Source organism: Homo sapiens, chromosome 16, assembly GCF_000001405.40.
Source record: "Homo sapiens chromosome 16, GRCh38.p14 Primary Assembly".
Classification (NCBI taxonomy): Eukaryota; Metazoa; Chordata; class Mammalia; order Primates; family Hominidae; genus Homo; species Homo sapiens.
Window position 1 is genome coordinate 57061173 of NC_000016.10, and position 22586 is coordinate 57083758.

The 22586-nt window shown below is 50.4% G+C and overlaps 1 protein-coding gene across 44 annotated transcripts in view, besides 3 other annotated features; it reads left to right on the plus strand.

Moving 5' to 3' along the window:
• NLRC5 (NLR family CARD domain containing 5) overlaps window positions 1-22348 on the plus strand; it is a 93964-nt gene extending 71616 nt beyond the window's left edge. For 22 of the 44 annotated variants that reach the window (NR_169520.1, NR_169518.1, NR_169517.1 and 19 more), the window contains 19 exons: window positions 276-359; window positions 446-529; window positions 4040-4126; window positions 5362-5442; window positions 6215-6298; window positions 6564-6656; window positions 8664-8747; window positions 9363-9446; window positions 13428-13511; window positions 15647-15730; window positions 16124-16207; window positions 16547-16630; window positions 16771-16848; window positions 17878-17961; window positions 18049-18120; window positions 18374-18457; window positions 19926-20009; window positions 20355-20438; window positions 21245-22348. Coding sequence is in view for 34 of the 44 variants with exons in the window: in NM_001384950.1 (NP_001371879.1) it covers window positions 276-359; window positions 446-529; window positions 4040-4126; window positions 5362-5442; window positions 6215-6298; window positions 6564-6656; window positions 8664-8747; window positions 9363-9446; window positions 13428-13511; window positions 15647-15730; window positions 16124-16207; window positions 16547-16630; window positions 16771-16848; window positions 17878-17961; window positions 18049-18120; window positions 18374-18457; window positions 19926-20009; window positions 20355-20438; window positions 21245-21356 (1615 nt within the window). In the remaining 10 variants the exon portion in view is untranslated. Of the gene's footprint in view, window positions 1-275; window positions 360-445; window positions 530-687; window positions 832-986; window positions 1002-1178; window positions 1604-4039; window positions 4127-5361; window positions 5443-6214; window positions 6299-6563; window positions 6657-8663; window positions 8748-9362; window positions 9447-13427; window positions 13512-15646; window positions 15731-16123; window positions 16208-16546; window positions 16631-16770; window positions 16849-17877; window positions 17962-18048; window positions 18121-18373; window positions 18458-19925; window positions 20010-20354; window positions 20439-21244 lie in introns of those variants that run through there. The other 22 variants (NR_169514.1, NM_001384961.1, NM_001384964.1 and 19 more) reach the window with 10 other exon arrangements.
• Window positions 170-1369: an enhancer, noted in NCBI's record as "BRD4-independent group 4 enhancer chr16:57095254-57096453 (GRCh37/hg19 assembly coordinates)". NCBI's record gives its function as "activates an origin of replication core promoter dependent on BRD2, P300/CBP, MED14 and CDK7 cofactors, and independent of BRD4, by STARR-seq in HCT116 cells {active_cell/tissue: HCT116}" and the evidence as "EXISTENCE:reporter gene assay evidence [ECO:0000049][PMID:35650434]".
• Window positions 8251-8976: an enhancer, noted in NCBI's record as "H3K4me1 hESC enhancer chr16:57103335-57104060 (GRCh37/hg19 assembly coordinates)". NCBI's record gives its function as "activates a minimal SCP1, AML or CMV promoter by ChIP-STARR-seq in primed H9 embryonic stem cells {active_cell/tissue: H9 hESC(primed)}" and the evidence as "EXISTENCE:reporter gene assay evidence [ECO:0000049][PMID:30033119]".
• Window positions 8977-9701: an enhancer, noted in NCBI's record as "H3K4me1 hESC enhancer chr16:57104061-57104785 (GRCh37/hg19 assembly coordinates)". NCBI's record gives its function as "activates a minimal SCP1, AML or CMV promoter by ChIP-STARR-seq in naive H9 embryonic stem cells {active_cell/tissue: H9 hESC(naive)}" and the evidence as "EXISTENCE:reporter gene assay evidence [ECO:0000049][PMID:30033119]".

A 22586-nucleotide genomic window follows, 5' to 3' on the forward strand; every position in this document is an offset into this window, starting at 1 on the left:
GCACCCAGAGGCTGGCACAGTGCCTGACCTAGAGTCAGCCTCCCTAAATAACTTACTCCTAATACTTTCTTACAGGGGGTGTGGGAGGTTCCTCCCCAAAGAGACAGGAAGCTCCCAGAGCAGGAGCTGCATATTTGGCCTCTCAGGCCCTGCTCCAGGCCTTTGCCCTCAGAGGTGGGATGCTCCCCCAATAGGCCCTCAGGGAGGCTGAGATGAAGCTGAGCAGCAGTGCCCACAGGCCTCACCCAGGCTCTGCCCTGGCTTTCTGCCCTCAGGCTAAGTGAGTGCAGCTTCCGGCCAGAGCACGTGTCCAGGCTGGCCACCGGCTTGAGCAAGTCCCTGCAGCTGACGGAGCTCACGTGAGTGACCCACCCAGCCCGTGAGGACAGCAGAGGGGTGGGGGCACCCTGCCAGAGCCACCTCAGTGACTGACCTCTGTCTCCAGGCTGACCCAGTGCTGCCTGGGCCAGAAGCAGCTGGCCATCCTCCTGAGCTTGGTGGGGCGACCCGCAGGGCTGTTCAGCCTCAGGTACCTCCTCCCCCGCTGCCTCCGGGAGGGGCCATGGCATGAATGGGAGCAGGGGTGGGCACTGGAGTAAGAGGCCCCCAGGATCATGGCCCCAGTCATTTCCTGTACCCACAACCCTGCCATCTGGACCCTGAGCAAACCCTGTCCATCTGTCCCAGAGACTCCACAAGGCACACAGAGAAACTGTCCTTCCCCACACTGGAGGCCTGTGCTTTGGGATTTAAGAAAAAAAGAAAGAAAGAAAGAAAGAAGGTTTCAGAGGATACTGAACTGAGGACAAAAATAAACTGAAACGAAGTTCTTGTCTGTCTGTTCACTATGATCATTTTAAAACACTCAGAAAAAGAAGATACCGAAGTAGAAAGAATAATTTTTTAAAACTCCTATTCCCAGAACCTAGGTTTGACAGTTGTTCATACTTTTTTTATATTTGCTTCTATTTTTATTTTTATTTCAGCTGAAGCGGTTTCAAGTAAGTTATAGACCTCATAATCCATCACTCCTAAATATTTCACCGTGAAGCTCCAAAAAATAAGGACATTTTTTTCAGTAATCACAGTTCCATCAGGACACCTAAGAAACTCAGTTAGCGATTCCTTAGTGTCGGGTACTACCTAGTCTAATCTAAAATGTCCCCATTGTCCCCCAGATAAGACAGCTGGCTTTTGGGATCCAGGATCTGTCACATCTGGTCTGCATTTGCACGGGATGGCGATGGTCTTCTGACTCTTCTAACCTGCGGCATCACTGCCCCCATCCCCTCACCACAGCTTTCTGTTTCATGTCAGTGTCTGTTGACAAAATCAGCAACTGTGTGTACTGCAGACTGTCCTGCTCCTGACTCTGGTGGCTTTCTCATGATGTCATGGCACGTGTTCCTCTAACCCCGACTTTCCTGGAAACTGGACGTTAGATCAAAAGGCTCCATGACATTCAGTTTCATGTTTGTGCCCAAAAAACTTACGTCACCGACAGAGCTGTGCACTTCTCATTGCAGCCTGTGACAAGGCACCTAAGAACTGACTGTTCCCCAAAATAACCTGTAAAAATTATTATAAAATACACATAACAAAATTTGCCATCTTAATCATTTCTAAGTGTACCATTCAGGAGTGTTAAGTACATCCACTTTTTTGTACGGCCAATCTCCGGAACTCTTTTCCTCTTGCAAAACTGAATCTCTATCCCCATTAAACAACACCCCATTTCCCCCCTACCCCAGCCCCTGGCAACCACCATTCTGCTTTCTGTCTCTATGAATTGGACTGCTCTAAATAGTTTATATGAGTGGAGTCATTTGTATTTGTCTGTATTTGTCTTTTTGTGACTGGCTCATTTCATTGGGCATAATGTCCTCTGGTTCATTCATGTTGCAGCGTGTGTCACTGTGTCAGACTTTCCTTCCTTTTTTTTTTTTTTTTTTTTTTTGAGACAGAGTCTCACTCTTGTCACCTGGGCTGGAGTGCACTGGCTCGATCTCAGCTCACTGCACCCTCCACCTCTTGGGTTCAAGCGATTCTCCTGCCTCAGCCTCCGGAGTAGCTGGGATTACAGGCGCCCGCCACCACACCCAGCTAATTTTTTTTTGTATTTTTGTAGAGACAGGGTTTCACCATGTTGGCGAGGCTGGTCTCGAACTCCTGACCTCAGATGATCTGCCCGTTTCGGCCTTCCAAAGTGCTGGGATTACAGGCATGAGCCACCACACCCAGCCCTTTCCTTTTTTAAGGCTGCATAATATTCCATTGTGTGGATGGACCACATTTTGTGTATCCACTTATCCATCAATTGACACTTGGGTTGTCCATTCAAGTGCCCAATTGACAGTCCCTGCTTTCTTTTTTTAAATATTATTTTATTTCAAAAACAATAGAGATGAGGTCTCACTGTTTTGCCCAGGATGATCTTGATCTCCTGAGCTCAAGTGATCCTCCCACCTCAGCCTCCCAAAGTGCTAGGCGTGAGCCACCATGCCCAGCCAGAAAGTCCCAGCTTTCAATTATTTTGGTTATATATCCAGAATTGCTAGAGCACCCAAAATAACTTTTTTTTTTTGAGACGGAGTCTCGCTCTGTTGCCCAGGTTGGAGTGCAGTGGTGCGATCTCGGCTCACTGCAAGCTCCGCCTCCTGGGTTCACGCCATTCTCCTGCCTCAGCCTCCAGAGTAGCTGGGACTACAGGTGCCCGCCACCACGCCTGACTAATGTTTTGTATTTTTAGTAGAGACGGGGTTTCACCATGTTAGCCAGGATGGTCTCGATCTCCTGACCTCGTGATCCCCCCACCTCAGCCTCCCAAAGTGCTGGGATTACAGGTGTGAGCCACTGCACCCAGCCAAAATAACATTTTCAAATAAAACTTTTCTTAGTCTAAAAATAATATTGGTTGGGGGAAGTGGCACACGCCTGTAATCCCAACACTTTGGGAGGCTGAGGTGGGCAGATTGTTTGAGCTCAGGCGTTCAAGACCAGCCTGGACAACATGGCAAAACCCCATATCTACAAAAAATAAAAATAAAAAAATAATATTTAATCATTGTTGAAATGTGCAGAAAATCCAGAAATACATAAAGAAAATAGTGCTTTAAAAATTCAGCATAACTTTAAAGCAGTAATATTTGACTTAATTCTCTTTTTTCCTACTTTCAAATTAATGCACATGCATTGTAGAAAGTTTAGAAAATATAGAAAATTAAAGAAGACATAAAATAAAAATCACTCATGAGAATTCTATCATCTTAAACAACCACCATGAACATTTAATATATTTTCCTATGTTTTCCACACATCTCTCTCCCTGTTTCTTTCCACACTTTTTTTCTCCAAATACTTTCCTTTTTTTGAAATGCAAAATTGGGATCATGTTTTATATACAGTTTGGTTTCCTTACCTTTGTGATGTAACATTATGTGAATCTTTTCTTAAATCTAAAAATATCAGTGGCCCAGTGCAGTGGCTCACGCCTGTAATCCCAGCACTTTGGGAGGCCGAGGCAGGTGGATCACTTGAGGTCAGGAGTTCAAGACCAGCCTGACCAACATGGTGAAACCCCATCTCTACTAAAAATACAAAAATTAGCCAGGCGTGGTGGCGCATGCCTGTAATCCCAGCTACTTGGGAGGCTGAGGCAGGAGAATCGCTTGAACCCAGGAGGCAGAGGTTGCAGTGATCTGAGATCATGCCATTGCACTCCAGTCTGGGCAACAAGAGCAAAACTCTGTCTCAAAAATAAAATAAGATAAGATAAAAAAATAAAATATAAAAATATCATTTAAAAAATAATATTTTCTGTTTGGATTGTCACAACAATAGTTGTTGGAATAAGGGTGATGTTAATTTCCTTTTTTAGATTGATGCCTACTTGTATAATTTTATAGTTTTAAAATGAGCAAAAAAAACTCAAAAAGCCTCTAGGTCCCCCCCTTGACACTCCTCCCCCGGCCCCGTCATGTGTGCTGATTGTCTGCTGCTCACCTTGGGGGGGCCTTATCTGTGTCCCCTTCTGTGACAGGGTGCAGGAGCCGTGGGCGGACAGAGCCAGGGTTCTCTCCCTGTTAGAAGTCTGCGCCCAGGCCTCAGGCAGTGTCACTGAAATCAGGTGAGTCCAGAGAAGAGGCCCCTTTGGAATTCTTCATCTTTCATAAGCATTGGGACTTTTCCTTGACCTTCCCTCATCCTGTGGGGTAATAGCTGTGTCACCAGCTAGTTTTCCATGTCCCCAGGGTAGCAGGAGCTCCTGGGGCATATGTGAGGGGCTACACATTTGTTGGGACTAGTGCAGTAGTCAAGCCACAGTGTCAGAGGAAGACATCCCCAGAATCAAAACAAAGGGCTATTGGATCCAGGCAGACATGGCTGGGAGTCCACGCTGGTTGCTTGGAAGTGGCCCCCCAGATGCAGTAACACACATTATGGCTCTTCAACCAGAAATAACACAATGACACACAGAGTAGCTTATAGCAAAGGTTTTAGCATCCCACTCAGCTATGTTCAGATCCCAACTCAGTCACTTACTGGTTGGAGCCCATTACTGTGTCTCTCTGACCTCAACCTCCTGCTCTTAAAAGAGTCTAATTACGGCCCTTTGCAGGGCTGGGAGGATTACAAGAACTGGAGCCTGTAAAGATGTCTGCTGTACTGTCACCAGCCACACAGCCTGCCCTGCTTCTTCCTTCTCTCCTCCAGGAGTGAGCAAGGGGATGCTCTGGGGACTTTATAATCTCCCATAGCCCTCTCCCCATAAGCACCCCATGAACATAACATTCAAGTGAAGGCAGTGAGCTTAGAGCGCAAATGCAGACTCCAGACACATCCCCTACCCCACCCTTCCACCACACTGTGGTCCTTGTGCCCCTCCCTCAGAAAATTCTGGAACTGCCCTTGGATCCCTCTAATGGCTTTCTGTCATGGTCTGAAAAGGCTTATCAACTTATTAACTTTAAATTGTTGAAAAGGGCCAGGCGCGGTGGCTCACGCCTGTAACCCCAGCACTTTGGGAGGCCGAGGCAGGAGGATCACTGAAGCCCAGAGTTCAAGGCTGCAGTGAGCTATGATCGTGCCCACCACTGCACTTCAGCCTGGGCTACAGAGCAAGACCCTGTCTCTTTAAAAAAAAAAAAAAAGAAAGAGAAAAATTGTTGAAAAGGCACTACTTGGGGTATTGTGTGTGACTCACGGAAGCACCTACTTTCCAGTCCTAAGCTGGTCCCTGGCAGGGGAGAAGGGGACCCAGGCAAAGTGAGAGTTCAGAGTTGGAGCCGGGCAGCCCAGGTGCCAGCTAGGCCCTCCGGGGAAGGCTGCCCGACCTCACGTTGGTTACTGCTCACTCCTCAGCATCTCCGAGACCCAGCAGCAGCTCTGTGTCCAGCTGGAATTTCCTCGCCAGGAAGAGAATCCAGAAGCTGTGGCACTCAGGTGGGACCCAGCACCAGGGACCCCAAGGCAGGGGCTGGTGTTGGGGAGGGGGCAGGGCTGCTTCTGACCAATATTCACCACCCTGCCCAGAGACCTTAGGGGTTCGAAGTCTTTACACAGGCTACAGAGGTCTGACCAACCCACTTCTGAGGCGTTTCAGCCCCACTCCAGGCCCCAGTCTCAGCTCCAGTCACCCCCATGAACTTTCAGTTCCCCGAACACCATCTTGCTTAGACCTTAGGGCATTTGCACAGGCTGTGCTCTCTGCCCAGAATGTTCTCTTCACGCCTACCTGCTTCACCTGCCTAACTCCTCCTCATCCCTCAGGTCTCAGCTTAAATGCCACCACCTCAGGGAGGCCCCCTGGACCCCAAGGCTTAGTCAAACACTTCCATTATCCACTCTTATAGATCCCTGGATTCACAGCACCTCTAAATCCATATGGCACAGTTTGGGAAATTAAAATGTCACCCTTTTGAGTGGATGCAGCCCTGCATGTGTACATTCTGGGAAATAGAGCATGGTAGGATCTCAGCCTCACCTCACCTCCTCGGCTGTGTGTCCTTGTGCGGTGAACAACCTGCACAACCATACCAGCTGCCCCATCTGGACTCCTGCTTCCTAGCACTTCTCATAAGTGAATAGCAAACTGTAGGACTTCATTTGATCAGCATTTATTTACCCCTACACCATAAGCTCCTTGCAGGCAGATACTGAATCCCACATACTGGACTAGATGTTCCAAAACTGTCGTCTCCCTGTCTGTGTCCAGGTTGGCTCACTGTGACCTTGGAGCCCACCACAGCCTTCTTGTCGGGCAGCTGATGGAGACATGTGCCAGGCTGCAGCAGCTCAGGTCAGCGCCTGGAAACTCTGTGTGGGGCCCTGAGTTCTCTGGTTGACCCTGGTACCTACTCCAGGCCATGTGTGACCCTGGCATTCTCACTTCCTTGTGCAGGAGAAAATCACACTTGGCCAGTGGAGGGGAGGGAGAGCCCCAGGGTGGCTCAGGGGAGCTCTTGGGTGGCCCCTTCTCCTCTCTTGGCACCCCCTTCTGGATGTGATGACCTCTGAGGTGTGTCCAGCCTGAAATCCTCTAGAATATCCTTGGACCTTTTCAGCTTGTCTCAGGTTAACCTCTGTGAGGACGATGATGCCAGTTCCCTGCTGCTGCAGAGCCTCCTGCTGTCCCTCTCTGAGCTGAAGACATTTCGGTATGTAGACAAGACATTCACTCAGTCCCCTTTGCAGCTCTGCCCTGCCCTGACACCTCCCGTTATTCCCAGCCCTGGGCTCAGAGGACTCTTACTCTGTGTCTTACTCTGTGGACACAAACCACAGGTGGCCCTGGAGATGATTTTTAGGGGTACCTAGTCGTAAACATGACCTTAGGAACATTGAGCCACATGGCAAGAAAGTTGTTCCCTTTTTAACACTCTTTCATTGTTTTTCTTTTAAAATAACTGCGAACTAACACAAAGTTTCAAGAAGACTGAGAACTGCTGTGTGCCATTTACCCAAATTCACCCTTAGAGCTGGGCGTGGTGGCTCATGTCTGTAATCCTAGCACTTTGGGAGGCCGAGGCAGGTGGATTGCCTGAGCTCAGGAATTCGAGACCACCCTGGACAACACGGTGAAACCCCGTCTCTACTAAAATACAAAAAAATTAGCTGGGCATGGTGGTGCATGCCTGTAATCCCAGCTAATTGGGAGGCTGAGGCACAAGAATTGCTTGAACCCGGGAGGCTGAGGTTACAGTGAGCCAAGATTGTGCCACTGCACTCTAGCCTAGGTGACAGAGCGAGGCTCGGTTTCCGAAAAAAAAAAAAAAGAACAAATTCACCCTTTGCCAATCTTTTTCCACATTTGCTCATTTCTTCCCTCCCTCCTTCTTTCCCACCTCCCTTTTCTTTCACTCTCTCCCTCTCTCCTTTTCTGAACCATTTAGAAGTAAGTTGTAATCATGTCCCTTTACCCGTTAACATTTCAGCGAATTTGCTAGAAATAAGGACATTCTCTTCCATAATCCAGTAAAATTATAAAATCCAGGAAATGTGACATTGATACACTACTATTATCTCAACTACAGTTTATACTCCAATCTCACCAGTTCTCCCAATAATGTTGCTTATTGCATTTTTTTCCCAGTTGTGGATCCAATCCAGGATCACACGTCTCATTTAGTGTCATCTCTTTAGTGTCTCCTTCAATCTGGAACACGTCCTTGGCCCTTCTTTGTCTTTCATAGCATTGTCTCTGACATTTACAGGCCAGTTATTTTATAGAATGTCCTTCCACTTGGGTTTGTCCAATGTTTCCTCATGTTTAGAGTTAGAGTCTGCCCTTTGGGCAGGAATATCACACAGGTGATGCTGTGTTATCGTGCCTTCCATCGGGGCACATGATGTGTCAGAGTCCTCGGGCTAGTGATGTTAACTGTGATCACCTGTGACAGTGGTGTCTGCCAGGTCTCTCCACTTGCAAATTTACTAACTTTCCCTTTGTAATCAACATAGATTATGTGGGGAGATACTTTAAGATTATGTATTAAGTCTTCCTCAAACTCTCATTGGCAAATTTTAGCAGCCGTTAATAAATCTTACTTAAATCGATGAATCAGCATGACAGTTGCAAAATGTAGCTTTCCTAACTTTACATTTTATTTCCATCTAACTGATTACACCAAGAAGAAACTCTTGGGCTGGGAACAGTGGCTCAAGCTTGTAATCCCAGCACTCTGGGAGGCCGAGGAGGAAAAATCGCTTGAGCCCGGGAGTTCGACACCAGCCTGAGCAACATAGCGAGACCACCCCCATCTCTACAAAAAATAAATAAATAAAATAAATGTTTAAAAAGGAAGAAACTCTTTAGGACAGAGAGATCTTTGACACTTCTTCAGTATTTGCTTTAAAGATGCAGAGTTTGTAATAAACAACAGTAACTAGCTAAACTACAGTGATACCTAATCCTGGCTTAAGTTGTGAAGTTGCTACCTGAATGACTGCGGTTTAGGAAATACTGAACTAGTCCATGCTTCTGCTTCCAAGCTCTGTGGTGGCTTAATGAGTTCATGGTGGAAGAGATTTACGAAGGGAAGGAGGTCTCCTCACATTGCCCGCCACATCCCTACCCCACATCCTTGCCCTCTGCCACCAGCATTCAGAGCTCCCAAGACCCAGGGCGGCTCCTGCCTGACCTGTTGCCCTTTGACCCCCACCAGGCTGACCTCCAGCTGTGTGAGCACCGAGGGCCTCGCCCACCTGGCATCTGGTCTGGGCCACTGCCACCACTTGGAGGAGCTGGAGTGAGTTGCAGAGTGGAGGGATTGGGGACAAGTGGCCCAGCTGAGGGTGAGGGGTGGAGAAGAGAGCAGGGCGTTTGGGAGGGCAGGCAATGAGACTTCAACCAATGACCCTTCCCCTGATGAAGTGCAGCAGTTCTGGGTGTGGCCTGGGGAAGGAAGAGCACCACAGTTTTGGTCTGAATTTCGCCACTGACTCACAGAGGGGCTGTGGGCATGGCTGTTCCACTCTGGGCTTTGATTGCCTTATCTATGAAAATGGGGCTCATGAGCCTTGCTCTGCTGGGCTGGCTGTGGGAGTCAGGCTACGGAGAGGGCTGAAGAACAAGAGGGTGTGTGTGTGTGTGTGTGTCCCTAGTCCCCCAGCTTCCTCTCTGCAGCCTTCATCCAGGGCATAGTTTCTCAGCTGGGCCAGCTGTGACTATCATGCCTACCCAGAGCCTGAGCCCTGGAGCTAGGGATACCCATGGGGAACCTGGACAGCGAGGGTGGCCCAGGGCATGCAGATGCAGAGTTGGCCTCCCAGGGGACAGAGCAGGAGAGGGGAGCTGACAGGACAGCTCAGCTCCAGGGCTGGGCAGGCTGCGCTAACCCTTGCCTCTGCCTGGTCTTCTGCAGCTTGTCTAACAATCAATTTGATGAGGAGGGCACCAAGGCGCTGATGAGGGCCCTTGAGGGGAAATGGATGCTAAAGAGGCTGGAGTAAGTAGTGATGGTGGTTGTGGGTGAGTGAGTGGTGGGGGTGGTTAATGGATGGTGGAAGTGGGTGAGTGGTGGGGTTGGTTAATGGATGGTGGAAGTGGGTGAGTGGTGGGGTTGGTTAATGGGGAATGGGGTGAGTGAGTGGTGGGAGTGGTTAATGGGGAATGGGCTGAGTGAGTGGTGGGAGTGGTTAATGGGGAATGGGGTGAGTGAGTGGTGATGGTGGTTAATGGGGAAGGGTGTGAGAGTGGTGATGGTGGTTAATGGGGAAGGGGGTGAGTGAGTGGTGATGGTGGTTAATGGGGAAGTGTTGTGAGTGAGTTGTGTTGGTGGTTAATGGGGAAGGAGATGAGTGAGTGGTGTTGGTGGTTAATGGGGAAGGGTTGTGAGTGAGTGGTGGCGTTGGTTAATGGGGAAGGGGGTGAGTGAGTGGTGATGGTGGTTAATGGGGAAGAGTTGTGAGTGAGTGGTGTTGGTGGTTAATGGGGAAGGGGGTGAGTGAGTGGTGGGGTTGGTTAATGGGGAAGTGTTGTGAGTGAGTGGTGATGGTGATTAATGGGGAAGGGTTGTGAGTGAGTGGCGTTGGTGGTTAATGGGGAAGGGAGGGAGTGAGTGATGATGGTGGTTAATGGGGAAGGGTTGTGAGTGAGTTGTGGGGTTGGTTAATGGGGAAGCGTTGTGAGTGAGTGGTGATGGTTGGTTAATGGGGAAGGGTTGTGAGTGAGTGGTGATGGTGGTTAATGGGGAAGGGGGTGAGTGAGTGGTGTTGGTGGTTAATGGGGAAGTGTTGTGAGTGAGTGGTGATGGTGGTTAATGGGGAAGGGTTGTGAGTGAGTGGTGTTGGTGGTTAATGGGGAAGGGGGTGAGTGAGCGATGATGGTGGTTAATGGGGAAGGGTTGTGAGTGAGTGGTGGGGTTGGTTAACGGGGAAGGGGGTGAGTGAGTGGTGGTGGTGGTTAATGGGGAAGGGGGTGAGTGAGTGGTGTTGGTGGTTAATGGGGAAGGGGGTGGGTGAGTGGTGATGGTGGTTAATGGGAAGGGAGTGAGTGGTGATGGTGGTTAATGGGGAAGGGTTGTGAGTGAGTGGTGATGGTGGTTAATGGGGAAGGGGGTGAGTAAGGGGTGGGGGTGGTTAATAGGGAAGAGTTGTGAGTGAGTGGTGGGGTTGGTTAATGGGGAAGGGGGTGAGTGAGGGATGACAGTGGTTAATGGGGAAAGGAGTGAGTGAGGGGTGATGGTGCTTAGTGCTGCATGGTCAGTGAGTAGCATGCCTAGGAACCTTTGCATGTTTTGTGAACACAAACCGCCATGTTTCTGGATGGACCCAGGTGAGCTGAATGCCCTTACATGACCTTTTACTTTCTATTCTGGATCTCAGTGCCAGCAAGAACCTTGGTCATAGGAAACAGAATACACAACTCAAAGCAATCCAAGACAGAAATATATTGGCTTATGTCATGGAAAATTACGAGGCCAATGACTTCAGGCACAGCTGGATCCAGGGGTTCTATATTTGTCAGGCTTCTCTCTCACACACTTCACTCTGGCCCTTACTCTTTCTCTGTCCACCTTGGCTTCCTTCTCAGGCAGGCCATCCCTGCACCTGCAGGCTTACTTTCTCTCAGCTTAGTGGAAAGGGAGTACCATTCTCTCTGTGGTTACAACAAAAGGTCCTAGACTGAGTCTCACTGGACTAGCTTGAGTCACCTGCCCCACCCTAAAGCAATCACTGTGGCTGTGAGCACAAAATATTCTCCTCACTGGCCAGACCTGGGCGCATGCACACCCTATCTTCTGGACTTAGAGGGGTGGTATTTCAGGATGTGAGTAACAGAAGAGGAAAGAAACTCTGGGCAGAAAAAAATCTACAGATGTCCACTACATTTGTCTACAGTTGTTTCCTTGGTAACTGGCAGCTTTTACTACTCTCCCCCATAATTTGAAGTCATCAAATTCTTAGAAATGCCAGAAACAGCCTCAGTCTAAAAGACAGGTCCCCGTCCTGCACAGATTCCTGTTTAGACAGTATCTGGACAGAAAATTTAACAGAATATCTTCTGCTTTTCATCTCTTAACTTTTTCTGATGACCAAAAAAGTTCCATCTTTCTAGAAATATGTAACAAATAACATGAAATGCCCCGGGGATGACACCCCCTGAGAAAACTTCTGTTGAACGGTTTGTGAATTTTTCTCCAGATTTTTTTTTCTACATATGTTTTGAATTCAGCTTGAAAGTAGCCTTTTGACTTTTTGCCCCTTAACATTGAAATTCTTCCGCTTGTCCCTCTTTGCTTGTCCTGGGGAGAGGATCAGGTAAAAGGAGAAGAGGGATTACAGAGACCTTTGACCACAGGGCCCTCCTGTCGTCTCACTGGTCTGTTTCTTTGCCCACTGTCCATGTACCTGCATCTCGGCTCAGCCTTCTGGAAGCTTTTATTTAGGGGATTGGAGGCCCAGTGAGGTCATTCATTGGCTCATTCATGCATTCGACAAATATGTACTGAGCTGGGCACCTGGGCCGGGGACAGGACAGATTCATCCATGCCCCTGGGGGCCTTTTTCTTCCTCCTGATTTCCCAGGCACCATGTGCTGCTCCTTACCTCCTGCTGCCTTAGTTGCCCTATCTGTAAACTGGGCATAATATCTTCCCTGTCCGAAGGAAGGGGATGGATCGTCAGTGCCCGGAGGTCTCTTCCCATCTCAGATCTGTCATTTCCAAGTGTAACTCCCCACAGGCAGTTACCCTCAAATCCAGTCAGCTTCTTCCAGCTGTATACCTGTGATGGAGTGGGTAGGAGCATGGACCCTAGTTAGGAGCCTCACTGCCTGGGTTCAACTCTGGGTGGGGTAACTGACACTTCCAGTTTGCTTGGAGCTTTCCCCATTTTGGCACCCAAAGTCCCACATCCAGGAAAAACTCTTCTGTTCTGAGCCAACCAAGACAGTTGACCATCTTTTGCTTCTGCCTCTTATTTTATTATTTATTTATTTGAGACCCAGTCTCTCTCCGTTGCCCAGGCTGGAGTGCAGTGGCACAGTCTTGGCTCACTGCAACCTCCGCCTCCCGGGTTCAAGCAACCCTCCTGCCTCAGCCTCCCAAGTAGCTGGCATTACAGGCACATGCCACCAGGCCCAGCTAATTTTTCTATTTTTAGTGGAGATGGGGTTTCACTTTGTTGGCCAGGCTGGTCTCGAACTCCTGACCTCAGGTGATTCACCCGCCTTGGCCTCACAAAGTCCTGGGATTACAGGCATGAGCCATTGCGCCCAGCCAGTTCTGTTTCTTAATGTGTGAACTCGTGCCAGTCCCTCAGCCTCTCTGTTCTTTGGCCTCCTCATCTTAACTTTGAGGATAAGAGCAATCTCCCCTGCTACGGTTGTTGTGAGTATTAAATGAGATAATATGTGTTACAGTCTTAGAGTCTGGTCAGAGTTCACACTCTACAAGTGCTAGCTATTGTTATTCTCCTCTCCTGCCTAGGCTGGGGGCCTCTAGAAGTACAATCGCCTGGGTCACATATGGTTGGGGCTCAGGAATGGGAGTTCTATAGTTTTTGGTTCTGTTCCTGAAGCAGCCACTTTGTGTATGACCTTAAGCAAGTTCTCTAACTCTCTGAACCTTGGTGTTCCTCACCTGTAAAATGGGGACGATAATAAACCCACCTTTCCAGATGGCCCCAAGCCCTGAGTTTGGCCCACATTTTATGATCAATGTGTGACCGCCATTATTACGGATCATTAGTCTTGGTCCATGTGGTTCAGAACATAGAACTGCTGCCTGCCTGACCTCAGTAATTCATGCAGAGAAACAGCATTTGGACCTCCCAGTACAGTTCATTTTGTAGAATTTTTACACTGTGTGGATATAAGTGGCTGTCTTGGAGGTCCCTAGGCTTGCTAAGCACAGAGGCCTCAGACCCCCAGACTGGACAGTGCCCCACCCCCAGATGTCAAGTTCACCTGGCCTCCTCTTCTCCAGCCTCAGTCACCTTCTGCTGAACAGCTCCACCTTGGCCTTGCTTACTCACAGACTAAGCCAGATGACCTGCCTGCAGAGCCTCAGGTGAGTGACCGAGCGGCCCCATGGGAATGAGTGGGAAGAAACACTTCCCACTCAGTTGGGACCACATCCAGGGAAGCACTGAGGCCACCTCCCAGGGGATCCTTTGCGGATCCCTCCCAGGCCCATCCCTGTGCCCTCCCAGGTGGGTGCCCACTGCTCTTGCCTTCTAATGCCATCAGCTTCCTCCTGGTTACAAAAGTGGCCTAAAGGGCTTAGGCCCACGTCGTAGAACAACCCTTGAGGCACACACACAGTTCACCCTGGGCTCTTGTTAAAATGCTCATTCTGATTCCCCAGGTCTGGAATTCTGCCTAGACTGTGCTTTTTTTTTTTTTTTTTTTTTTTTTTTTTTTTTTTTTTTTTTGAGTTGGGGCCTCACTGTGTGGCCCAGGCTGGAGTGCAGTGGCAATGCACAGGTGCAATCGTGTTGCACTGCAGCCTCAAACTCCTGGGCGAACGTGATCCTCCTGCCTCACCCTCCTAAGCAGCTGGGACTACAGGCCTAAGGCGTTGCACCCAAACTTAGCATTTCTTTTTTTGTTTGTTTGTTTTTGAGACAGAGTTTCGCTCTTGTTGCCCAGGCTGGAGTGCAATGGCACAATCTCAGCTCACTGCAACCTCCGCCTCCCGGGTTCAAGCGATTCTCCTGCCTCAGCCTCCCGAGTAGCCGGGATTATAGGCATGTGCCACCACGCCCGGCTAATTTTTGTATTTTTGGTAGAGACAGTGTTTCTCCATGTTGGTCAGGCTGGTCTTGAACGTCCAACCTCAGGTGATCTGCCCACCTCGGCCTCCCAAAGTGCTGGGATTACAGGCGTGAGCCACCACGCCTGGCTTCAGACTCTGCATTTTCTAACAAGCTTCCGGGTGGTATCAATTCTGGGGGCCACGGTCAGCACTTTGAGTAGTGTGGGTCTAGACTCAGATGGGGTGGCCTTCCTACACTCCCTTTGTGATTTCACTCCCTGCTGCTAGGATAAATAAACATGACACTTACTTTCAATGTGATTTTTCAAAACATGAAATCTTGTGACTAAAAACAAATCCAAGCAGTGACACAAAGCATTGCTTTGTTTATATCCAAGTACACCTCCTACCCCCTACCTCGGGCAGAGCAGAGTAGGTAGGAAATGAGGTTAGAGAGTTCCAGGAGGTTATATCATATTGGACCATTTCACCCAAAATTAATTTACTGAAAGGTGATCCATTAAAGTGTATTTATTTATTTCTATTTTATTTTTATTTTTTGAGACACAGTCTCACTCTGTCGCCCAGGCTGGAGTGCAGTGGCATGATCTCACTTCACTGCAACCTCTGCCTCCTGGGTTCAAGCGATTCTGGTGCCTCAGCCGCCCAAGTAGCTGGGATTACAGGTATGCACCACCACGCCCAGATAATTTTTGTATATTTTTAGTACAAATGGGGTTTCACCATGTTGGCCGGGCTGGTCTCGAACCCCTGACCTCAAATGATCCACCTGCCTAGACTCCGAAAGTGCTGGGAATACAGGTGTGAACCACTGCTCCCAGCCCCATTAAAATTTAATTTGCAAAATAAAAGAAAGTAAAAACAACATGCAAACAAATACTTCCCAAGGGGCTAAGACCATTTGCCTCAGCTATTTATTGTTTTTTCCTACCCAGGCAGAGCAAGGTCAGGGCTCAGTAAAGACAATACCCTGGGTTTAAGGAAAAACCTACCATTTGCATGGATGAGAACACATATGCCCCTGAGAACTGATCTGCGTGAATCAGAGAATCCCACGTGAAAGTGGCATTCAGCCGGGCCAGCCCGGAGATCCCTGACACAGAGGCTGAGGTGAAGCTTGGCAAAGAAATGTAGAGACTCCTCCTGGGCCAGGGGCTCTGGATTTGTTTCCACCCAGCCTGCAAGTCCCTAAGTCTCTGGCCAGTCACAGCTCACTGCTGGCTCTCAAGTTTTCTCACCTGGACACTGGGGACAATAATTCCCACCTTGCTCACCACTCCCCACCTGCCATGACCCCCAGAAGTTTTGCTACCAGCATATGAATTCCTGGGCGTGTAAGGCTTTGCAAACTGTAGAGTTCTTAGCACAGCACCTGCAAAGGCCTTTAAGCTCCTGAAAGCCTCTTGGTCTATTCCCTGCTTTTCCAGACTGAACAGGAACAGTATCGGTGATGTCGGTTGCTGCCACCTTTCTGAGGCTCTCAGGGCTGCCACCAGCCTAGAGGAGCTGGAGTGAGTTGCCCATTCTGCCCCCAGACCCAGGACAATTTTGGCCGGGAAAGATGACAAGGGCAAGGGGCTACCTGAGCACGCCCTTTGCTTCTTCATCTCATCTCCTTCACCCACTTCTACACTGTGTAAACAACCTGGGGCCTAGAAGCTTGGGGGACCCAAAGACAGGATGTAAGAGTGTCAATTGTAGCAAGAGGGATTTAGGTCAGACAATGGGGAGAACATCCTAAACAGAAGCCAAGGGTTAGGAGCTGTCACTCAACATGGGGTGATGGGGCTCTCTGTGTGAGTCGAGGCCCTTCCTGGGACTTCAGCCTCCCCTTCTTTTTCTGGGAGTGGGGTGTGGACAAGATGAGACGGCAGAAGGCTGATGAAGCTGTTTTCTCCCCCAAGCTTGAGCCACAACCAGATTGGAGACGCTGGTGTCCAGCACTTAGCTACCATCCTGCCTGGGCTGCCAGAGCTCAGGAAGATAGAGTGAGTAGCCAGCCCTACAGAGGAGGGCCACAGGGGTCACACGATGGTCCTAGGAGATACTGGCCCCTAGCTGAGGCCAGCATGGTAAAATCTCCCCTGCGCCAACCTCAGTGTCCAGGCAGTGGGGCTCGGTGACCTCCTGGCCCTCACTGCGGGACCTTAAGCCACCCCAGCCCCTGCTCTTCTCTGGGCCTTTCTGCCTCATTGTCTGGGTAGGTGTGTGGTGTCGGGGGGTTGTCTCTTAGGCCCCCTGAAGCAGGGGTGGCAGACCCAGCAGATGTGCTGGGGTGTCGGGGAGAGGGGGCATCAGAGGACCTGATGGCTGCCCCCCTCCCACAGCCTCTCAGGGAATAGCATCAGCTCAGCCGGGGGAGTGCAGTTGGCAGAGTCTCTCGTTCTTTGCAGGCGCCTGGAGGAGTTGATGTGAGTGTCTGCCCAGGTGGCCTCTGCCCTCTGTGCCCCCCAGGTCCACCTGGCCTCCTCTCCCGCAGTGGGCACAGGGCAGGGCGGGGGTCCCGAGTGGGCAGGCCCAGTACTCAATGCTCATTCCTCTCCTCTTCCAGGCTTGGCTGCAATGCCCTGGGGGATCCCACAGCCCTGGGGCTGGCTCAGGAGCTGCCCCAGCACCTGAGGGTCCTACAGTGAGTGGCCCCCTGCCCATACCATGCAGGGCTGGTGGGGAGGAGGGTCCTCGGGAGCAGTGGGGGGGTCCAGGCCCCCATCAGTTGAGCTGCCCTGCCCCAAGTCAAGCTTGGCATATACCCACTCTCCTGCCTGTTCCTTCCCTGCCTCTGATGTCTGCAGCAAGAAAATCAGGAGGCCCAGCCTAGTCCTGGCTCTGCCACTGGCCCCTGCCTGACCTTGGCCAAACCCCTGCCCCTTCTCAGCCTCAGTTTCTTCACATGCAAAAGAAGTACAATGATCCCAGTTCATTGTGCCCTGTGAGCGGGTCCCTGAGGGCGAATGAGAAATCCTGGCAGAGGGCTTCGCAGGAGCACGGTGCCAATCAACGTGGCCTCAGCACTTCACAAATGACCTCATTGCAGCCCCATGGCAGCCCCCAGAGTCCCAGAGTGCTGGGACCTTGTTTTTTTTTTTTTTTTTTTTTTTTAGATGGAGTCTCTCTCTGTCACCCAGGCTGGAGTGCAGTGGTGCAACCTCGGCTCACTGCAACCTCCACCTCCCGGGTTCAAGCAATTCTTGTGCCTCAGCTACCAGAGTAGCTGGGATTACGAGCATGCCCACCATGCCCAGCTAATTTTTGTATTTTTAGTAGAGACGGCATTTCACCATATTGCCCAGGCTGGTCTTGGACTCCTGGCCTCAAGTGATCCACCCACCTCAGCCTCCAAAAGTGCTGGGATTACAGGCGTGAGCCACCATGGCTGGCTGGTGCTGGGACTTTTATGTGCTCCCTTTTCCAGGCAAGGGAATGAAGGCCAGGAGAGGTGTGGAGAATTTTCCTTACTCATACACGAAGGACCCAGGTGTTGAATTTGGGATCTCAGACCCCAAAGCCAGGGTCCTTGATACCTACCCAGGTCCTGTGTGGATGGGGAATTAGCCAGAGACTGTCTACGGGCTGGCACTGCAGCCTGAGACAAGGCTGAGGGTGGGGCTCTGGAAACGCCAGTCCCTCAGGCTCCTCTCACCCTCTCCTCTTTCCCCAGCCTACCATTCAGCCATCTGGGCCCAGGTGGGGCCCTGAGCCTGGCCCAGGCCCTGGATGGATCCCCCCATTTGGAAGAGATCAGGTAAGTAGGGGCTGCCCAGCCCAGGCACGGGGACAGTCCTGGGCGGGTCTGGGGGTTCCTCTCACAGGTATCTCCCCTACCCTGCAGCTTGGCGGAAAACAACCTGGCTGGAGGGGTCCTGCGTTTCTGTATGGAGCTCCCGCTGCTCAGACAGATAGAGTAAGTAGCCTCCCCTGCCTGCCTAGGGGACCAGTGGCAGGCTGAGGGCAGCCCTTCTCTGACTGAGCCTAACACCTGGGGAGGCCTTTGAAGTGATAGAAGCCCCAGGGATGGTGGGGGCCTGGCTCAAGAAAGGAAGTCTTTCCTAAAACGCCTAGCTTACCCCAGACCCTGGTGGCTCTGGAGGCAGGACCTGCTAGATCCCCTGACTCAAACAACCCCCATCCCATCCCATGCCCTTCTCCATCCCCAGCCTGGTTTCCTGTAAGATTGACAACCAGACTGCCAAGCTCCTCACCTCCAGCTTCACGAGCTGCCCTGCCCTGGAAGTAATCTTGTGAGTGATTGGAAGAGCCCTGAGCTGGCTGGGAAAAGGAAAAGTCGGGAGGGGTCGGGGGAGTTGGCTCCAGCCTGCTGTGTGGCCTGGAGCTGCTCCCATCCTCTCTGGCCAGTCCTCCCATTTGTAAATGGGGAAGATCATCCTTACTCAGACATCCTCTCAAAGACATTTTAACACTTGAGCTGCAGGTAATGTTGGGTAAAACAGTTTACCTTCTTCTGCCTTTTTCCCCATTTGTAGATTGGTGGGAGGGGAGGTGGACCAGATGGTCTTTAAAGGTTTTTGGTCCAACCTTCCTTTTGGGAGGCAACTGGATAGACCACCTTGCCTGCTTGATGAAACCTCCATTTATGAACCACAGTTGGTAGAAACAGTGGCTAAAGCCAGGAGAAAGCCACCCCCAGACCTGCTGGCTGGCCGTGCTTGGCTGTCTCTTAGCAATCAGAATCCCCCAGACCTTGGGGCTTTGCAGTGCTGCCTCATGAGTAAACTAGAATTCTAGGACTAGCCTGGGACCCTAACCATGGTATGGAGGACAAAGCTGTTTCCTAAAGAACAGGACACAAGTGATTACGAGAAGATTTTAGTTTGCATCCTAAAGGTCTTAACCCTTCTCATTACACCAAAGCGAAAGTCTCAGATCAGTGGTAATTCATCTTTAACACCTAACACTGGATTCTCCCTTTTTAACCAAAAGGGTTAAAAACCCAACATCTTAGGAAGGGCATATGTTCCAACTAGAAGTTAATACCATTGTTTGTACTATATTTATTTTTGTAACTACCTTCTATATGGAGTCTGTAACACAAGTTTTCCATTGATAGTAGCAATAAAAGTTTCCTTTCAAGATTTTTTTTTTTTTTTTTTTTTGAGATGGAGTCTCCCTCTGTTACCCAGGCTGGAGTGCAGTGGTGCAATCTCGGCTCACTGCAACCTCCACCTGCCGGGTTCAAGAGATTCTCCTGCCTCAGCCTCCTGAGTAGCTGGGATTACAAGTGCCCACCACCACACCCAGCTAATTTTTGTATTTTTAGTAGAGACAGGATTTCACCATGTTGGTTAGGCTCGTCTCAAACACCTGACCTTGGCCTCCCAAAGTGCTGGGATTACAGGCGTGAGCAACCACGCCCAGCCAAGATTAATTTTTTAAAGTAAGAAAAAAGAGGGGGCCAATTTAAAGAAAAATATGATGCATCTTAAATACAGGAGGTACATGTATGTGGCAAAAATGGCAACATCTTGTGAACAACGTCATGATTCAAACTTGACGGGGAGGGGAGCAGGGAGGAAGGTAACCTGCACCCTGACGTCTTCAGGGGAGGACACACAAGCACCCTATCAGGTGGCCTCTCTTGAAAACCCTTGCCCCCACGACTGGCACCCTGCTTTCCCCATTCACTGCCTTGTCTCCACCCCTCGACCTCCTTGCTCTCCTGCCGCTGACTTTGGGACCCCTACCCTGCAGGCTGTCCTGGAATCTCCTCGGGGATGAGGCAGCTGCCGAGCTGGCCCAGGTGCTGCCGCAGATGGGCCGGCTGAAGAGAGTGGAGTATGAGGGGCCGGGGGAGGAATGGGACGGGCTAAAGGGGGACCTACATCCCGGGAACACCAAGAGGCCACTGGGTCAGTCCCCTGCCTCCCAGAAAGCCCTTCCTTGAGTTGCACACTCTGGCCTGTTCCAAGCCCCTGCCAGGCTTAGTTCCCCCTGGGTTCTAGCCTTCAGCCTTCCTGCTGCACCTGCCACCAGTCCCCTGTTGTCTTTTGGGTTCCCTGAGAAGGTAGTGTGGGAGACTGTGTCCCCTGACCTTGGCCTGAGGAAGGGACCTAGGAAACTCTCACACCCATTCTCATGGCCGTGTTTCTCTTTCCCCTCCCCTCACTGTCCACTGAGAAGCCTGGAGAAGAATCAGATCACAGCTTTGGGGGCCTGGCTCCTGGCTGAAGGACTGGCCCAGGGGTCTAGCATCCAAGTCATCCGGTAACAGAGGCCTGCAGGGGCAGGGATGGTGGGTGGGAGGCTACACCAACCCCCAGATCTAATGGGACTCCCTGGAGGAGGCGGCAGGGCCTGGGCTGGGGATTATCAAAGGAGACTTGGACCACTCCACCAAGAATTTGGCAGCAAGCAGACTTGGATCAAACCCCAGCTCTGCCACTTGCCAACTGTGTAACTTTGTAGCCATAACTCAACCTCTCTGAACCCCAATTTTCTCATCTGTGAAATGGGGATACTGATAGTATCTACCTCAGAGAGTTGTGAAGACTAAATGAGCATATAAAGCACTGAACCCAATGCCTGGCACATAGTAAGCACTTAAAATGGCAGCTATAATCAGAGCCATCACATACAGTTGTATAGGTTGTGCACTGCACAAGGGCATTAAACCTAAGGGGCACCATTCACATTGTCAACCTGCTAGATTTCTAGCAGATGAGAGTAAAGTACCTTGTTCTACCAAAATCATATATTATGACAATTTCAGACAGATGGAAGTAAAACATCTTGAAGAAAGAGGGTCTTTTCCTTATTTGCACAAATGTGTCATATGAGTGTGGCCTTAGCTGGCATCACTATCTCCCAGGGAGGAAGGTTGAGTTGGAGGACTCAGGAGGCAGGTGTGGGGTACACCCTCTCCCTAGGTCAGCTATGCTGGTCTAACACCTGCCTCTGCCAGGTAACTCTAGGCACAGCTCTACCTTTTTGGGCCTCAGCCTCCCAATCTGCAGATACGACAGATGGCAAAGATGGGAGGATGAATGAGTGCCTATATCTGTGCCCCACAGCCTCTGGAATAACCCCATTCCCTGCGACATGGCCCAGCACCTGAAGAGCCAGGAGCCCAGGCTGGACTTTGCCTTCTTTGACAACCAGCCCCAGGCCCCTTGGGGTACTTGATGGCCCCCTCAAGACCTTTGGAATCCAGCCAAGTGATGCACCCAAATGATCCACCTTTCGCCCACTGGGATAATTGACTCAGGAAAGAAGAGCCTCGGCAGGGCGCTCTGCACTCCACCCAGGAGGAAGGATACGTGTGTCCTGCTGCAGTCCTCAGGGAGAACTTTTTTGGGAACCAGGAGCTGGGTCTGGACAAAGGAGTACCCTGCATTACGTGGGATATGTGTGATCAATTGGGGACATGCGACACACAATGAGGGTGTCATGACAATGCATGACACGTACGGTTATATGTGGCAGTGTGACCCCTTGACATGTGGCGTTACATGAAAGTCAGTGTGGCACGTGTTCTGTGGCATGGGTGCTGGCATCCCAAGTAGCAGGATACATGATTGTTGGTCTATATATGACACATGACAAATGTCCATGTCACAGGACTCATGGCTGGCCAGATGACCTCAGGCTGGCCCAAGATCTAATTTATTAATTTTTAAAGCAAATACATATTTATAGATTGTGTGTATGGAGCAGCTAAGTCAGGAAAAGTCTTCCGCCCGAGCTGGGAGGGGAGAGTGTCCATGCACTGACCAGTCCAGGGGCTCAAGGGCCAGGGCTCTGGAACAAGCCAGGGACTCAGCCATTAAGTCCCCTCCTGCCTCAATCCTCAGCCTACCCATCTATAAACTTGATGACTCCTCCCTTACTTACATACTAGCTTCCAAGGACAGGTGGAGGTAGGGCCAGCCTGGCGGGAGTGGAGAAGCCCAGTCTGTCCTATGTAAGGGACAAAGCCAGGTCTAATGGTACTGGGTAGGGGGCACTGCCAAGACAATAAGCTAGGCTACTGGGTCCAGCTACTACTTTGGTGGGATTCAGGTGAGTCTCCATGCACTTCACATGTTACCCAGTGTTCTTGTTACTTCCAAGGAGAACCAAGAATGGCTCTGTCACACTCGAAGCCAGGCTTGATCAATAAACACAATGGTATTCCACGTCTAGCGTGAATCCAATGTTTCCTCTTACCCCACTGAAGTCAGAGGTGGTTCACCCCCTGCCGTAAGGACTGGACAGCAGCGCAAACAACAGAGAGGTGTGCTGAGTGGAGCACTGGCCTGGGAGTCAGGAGACATGGGTTCCCAGCTCAGGACTTGTCTCTAGTCACGTGGCCATGGGCAAGTTACCTCCTCTCTCCAGACCTCGCCTGCAACGTGAGGGTGTTATAGAAGCTCA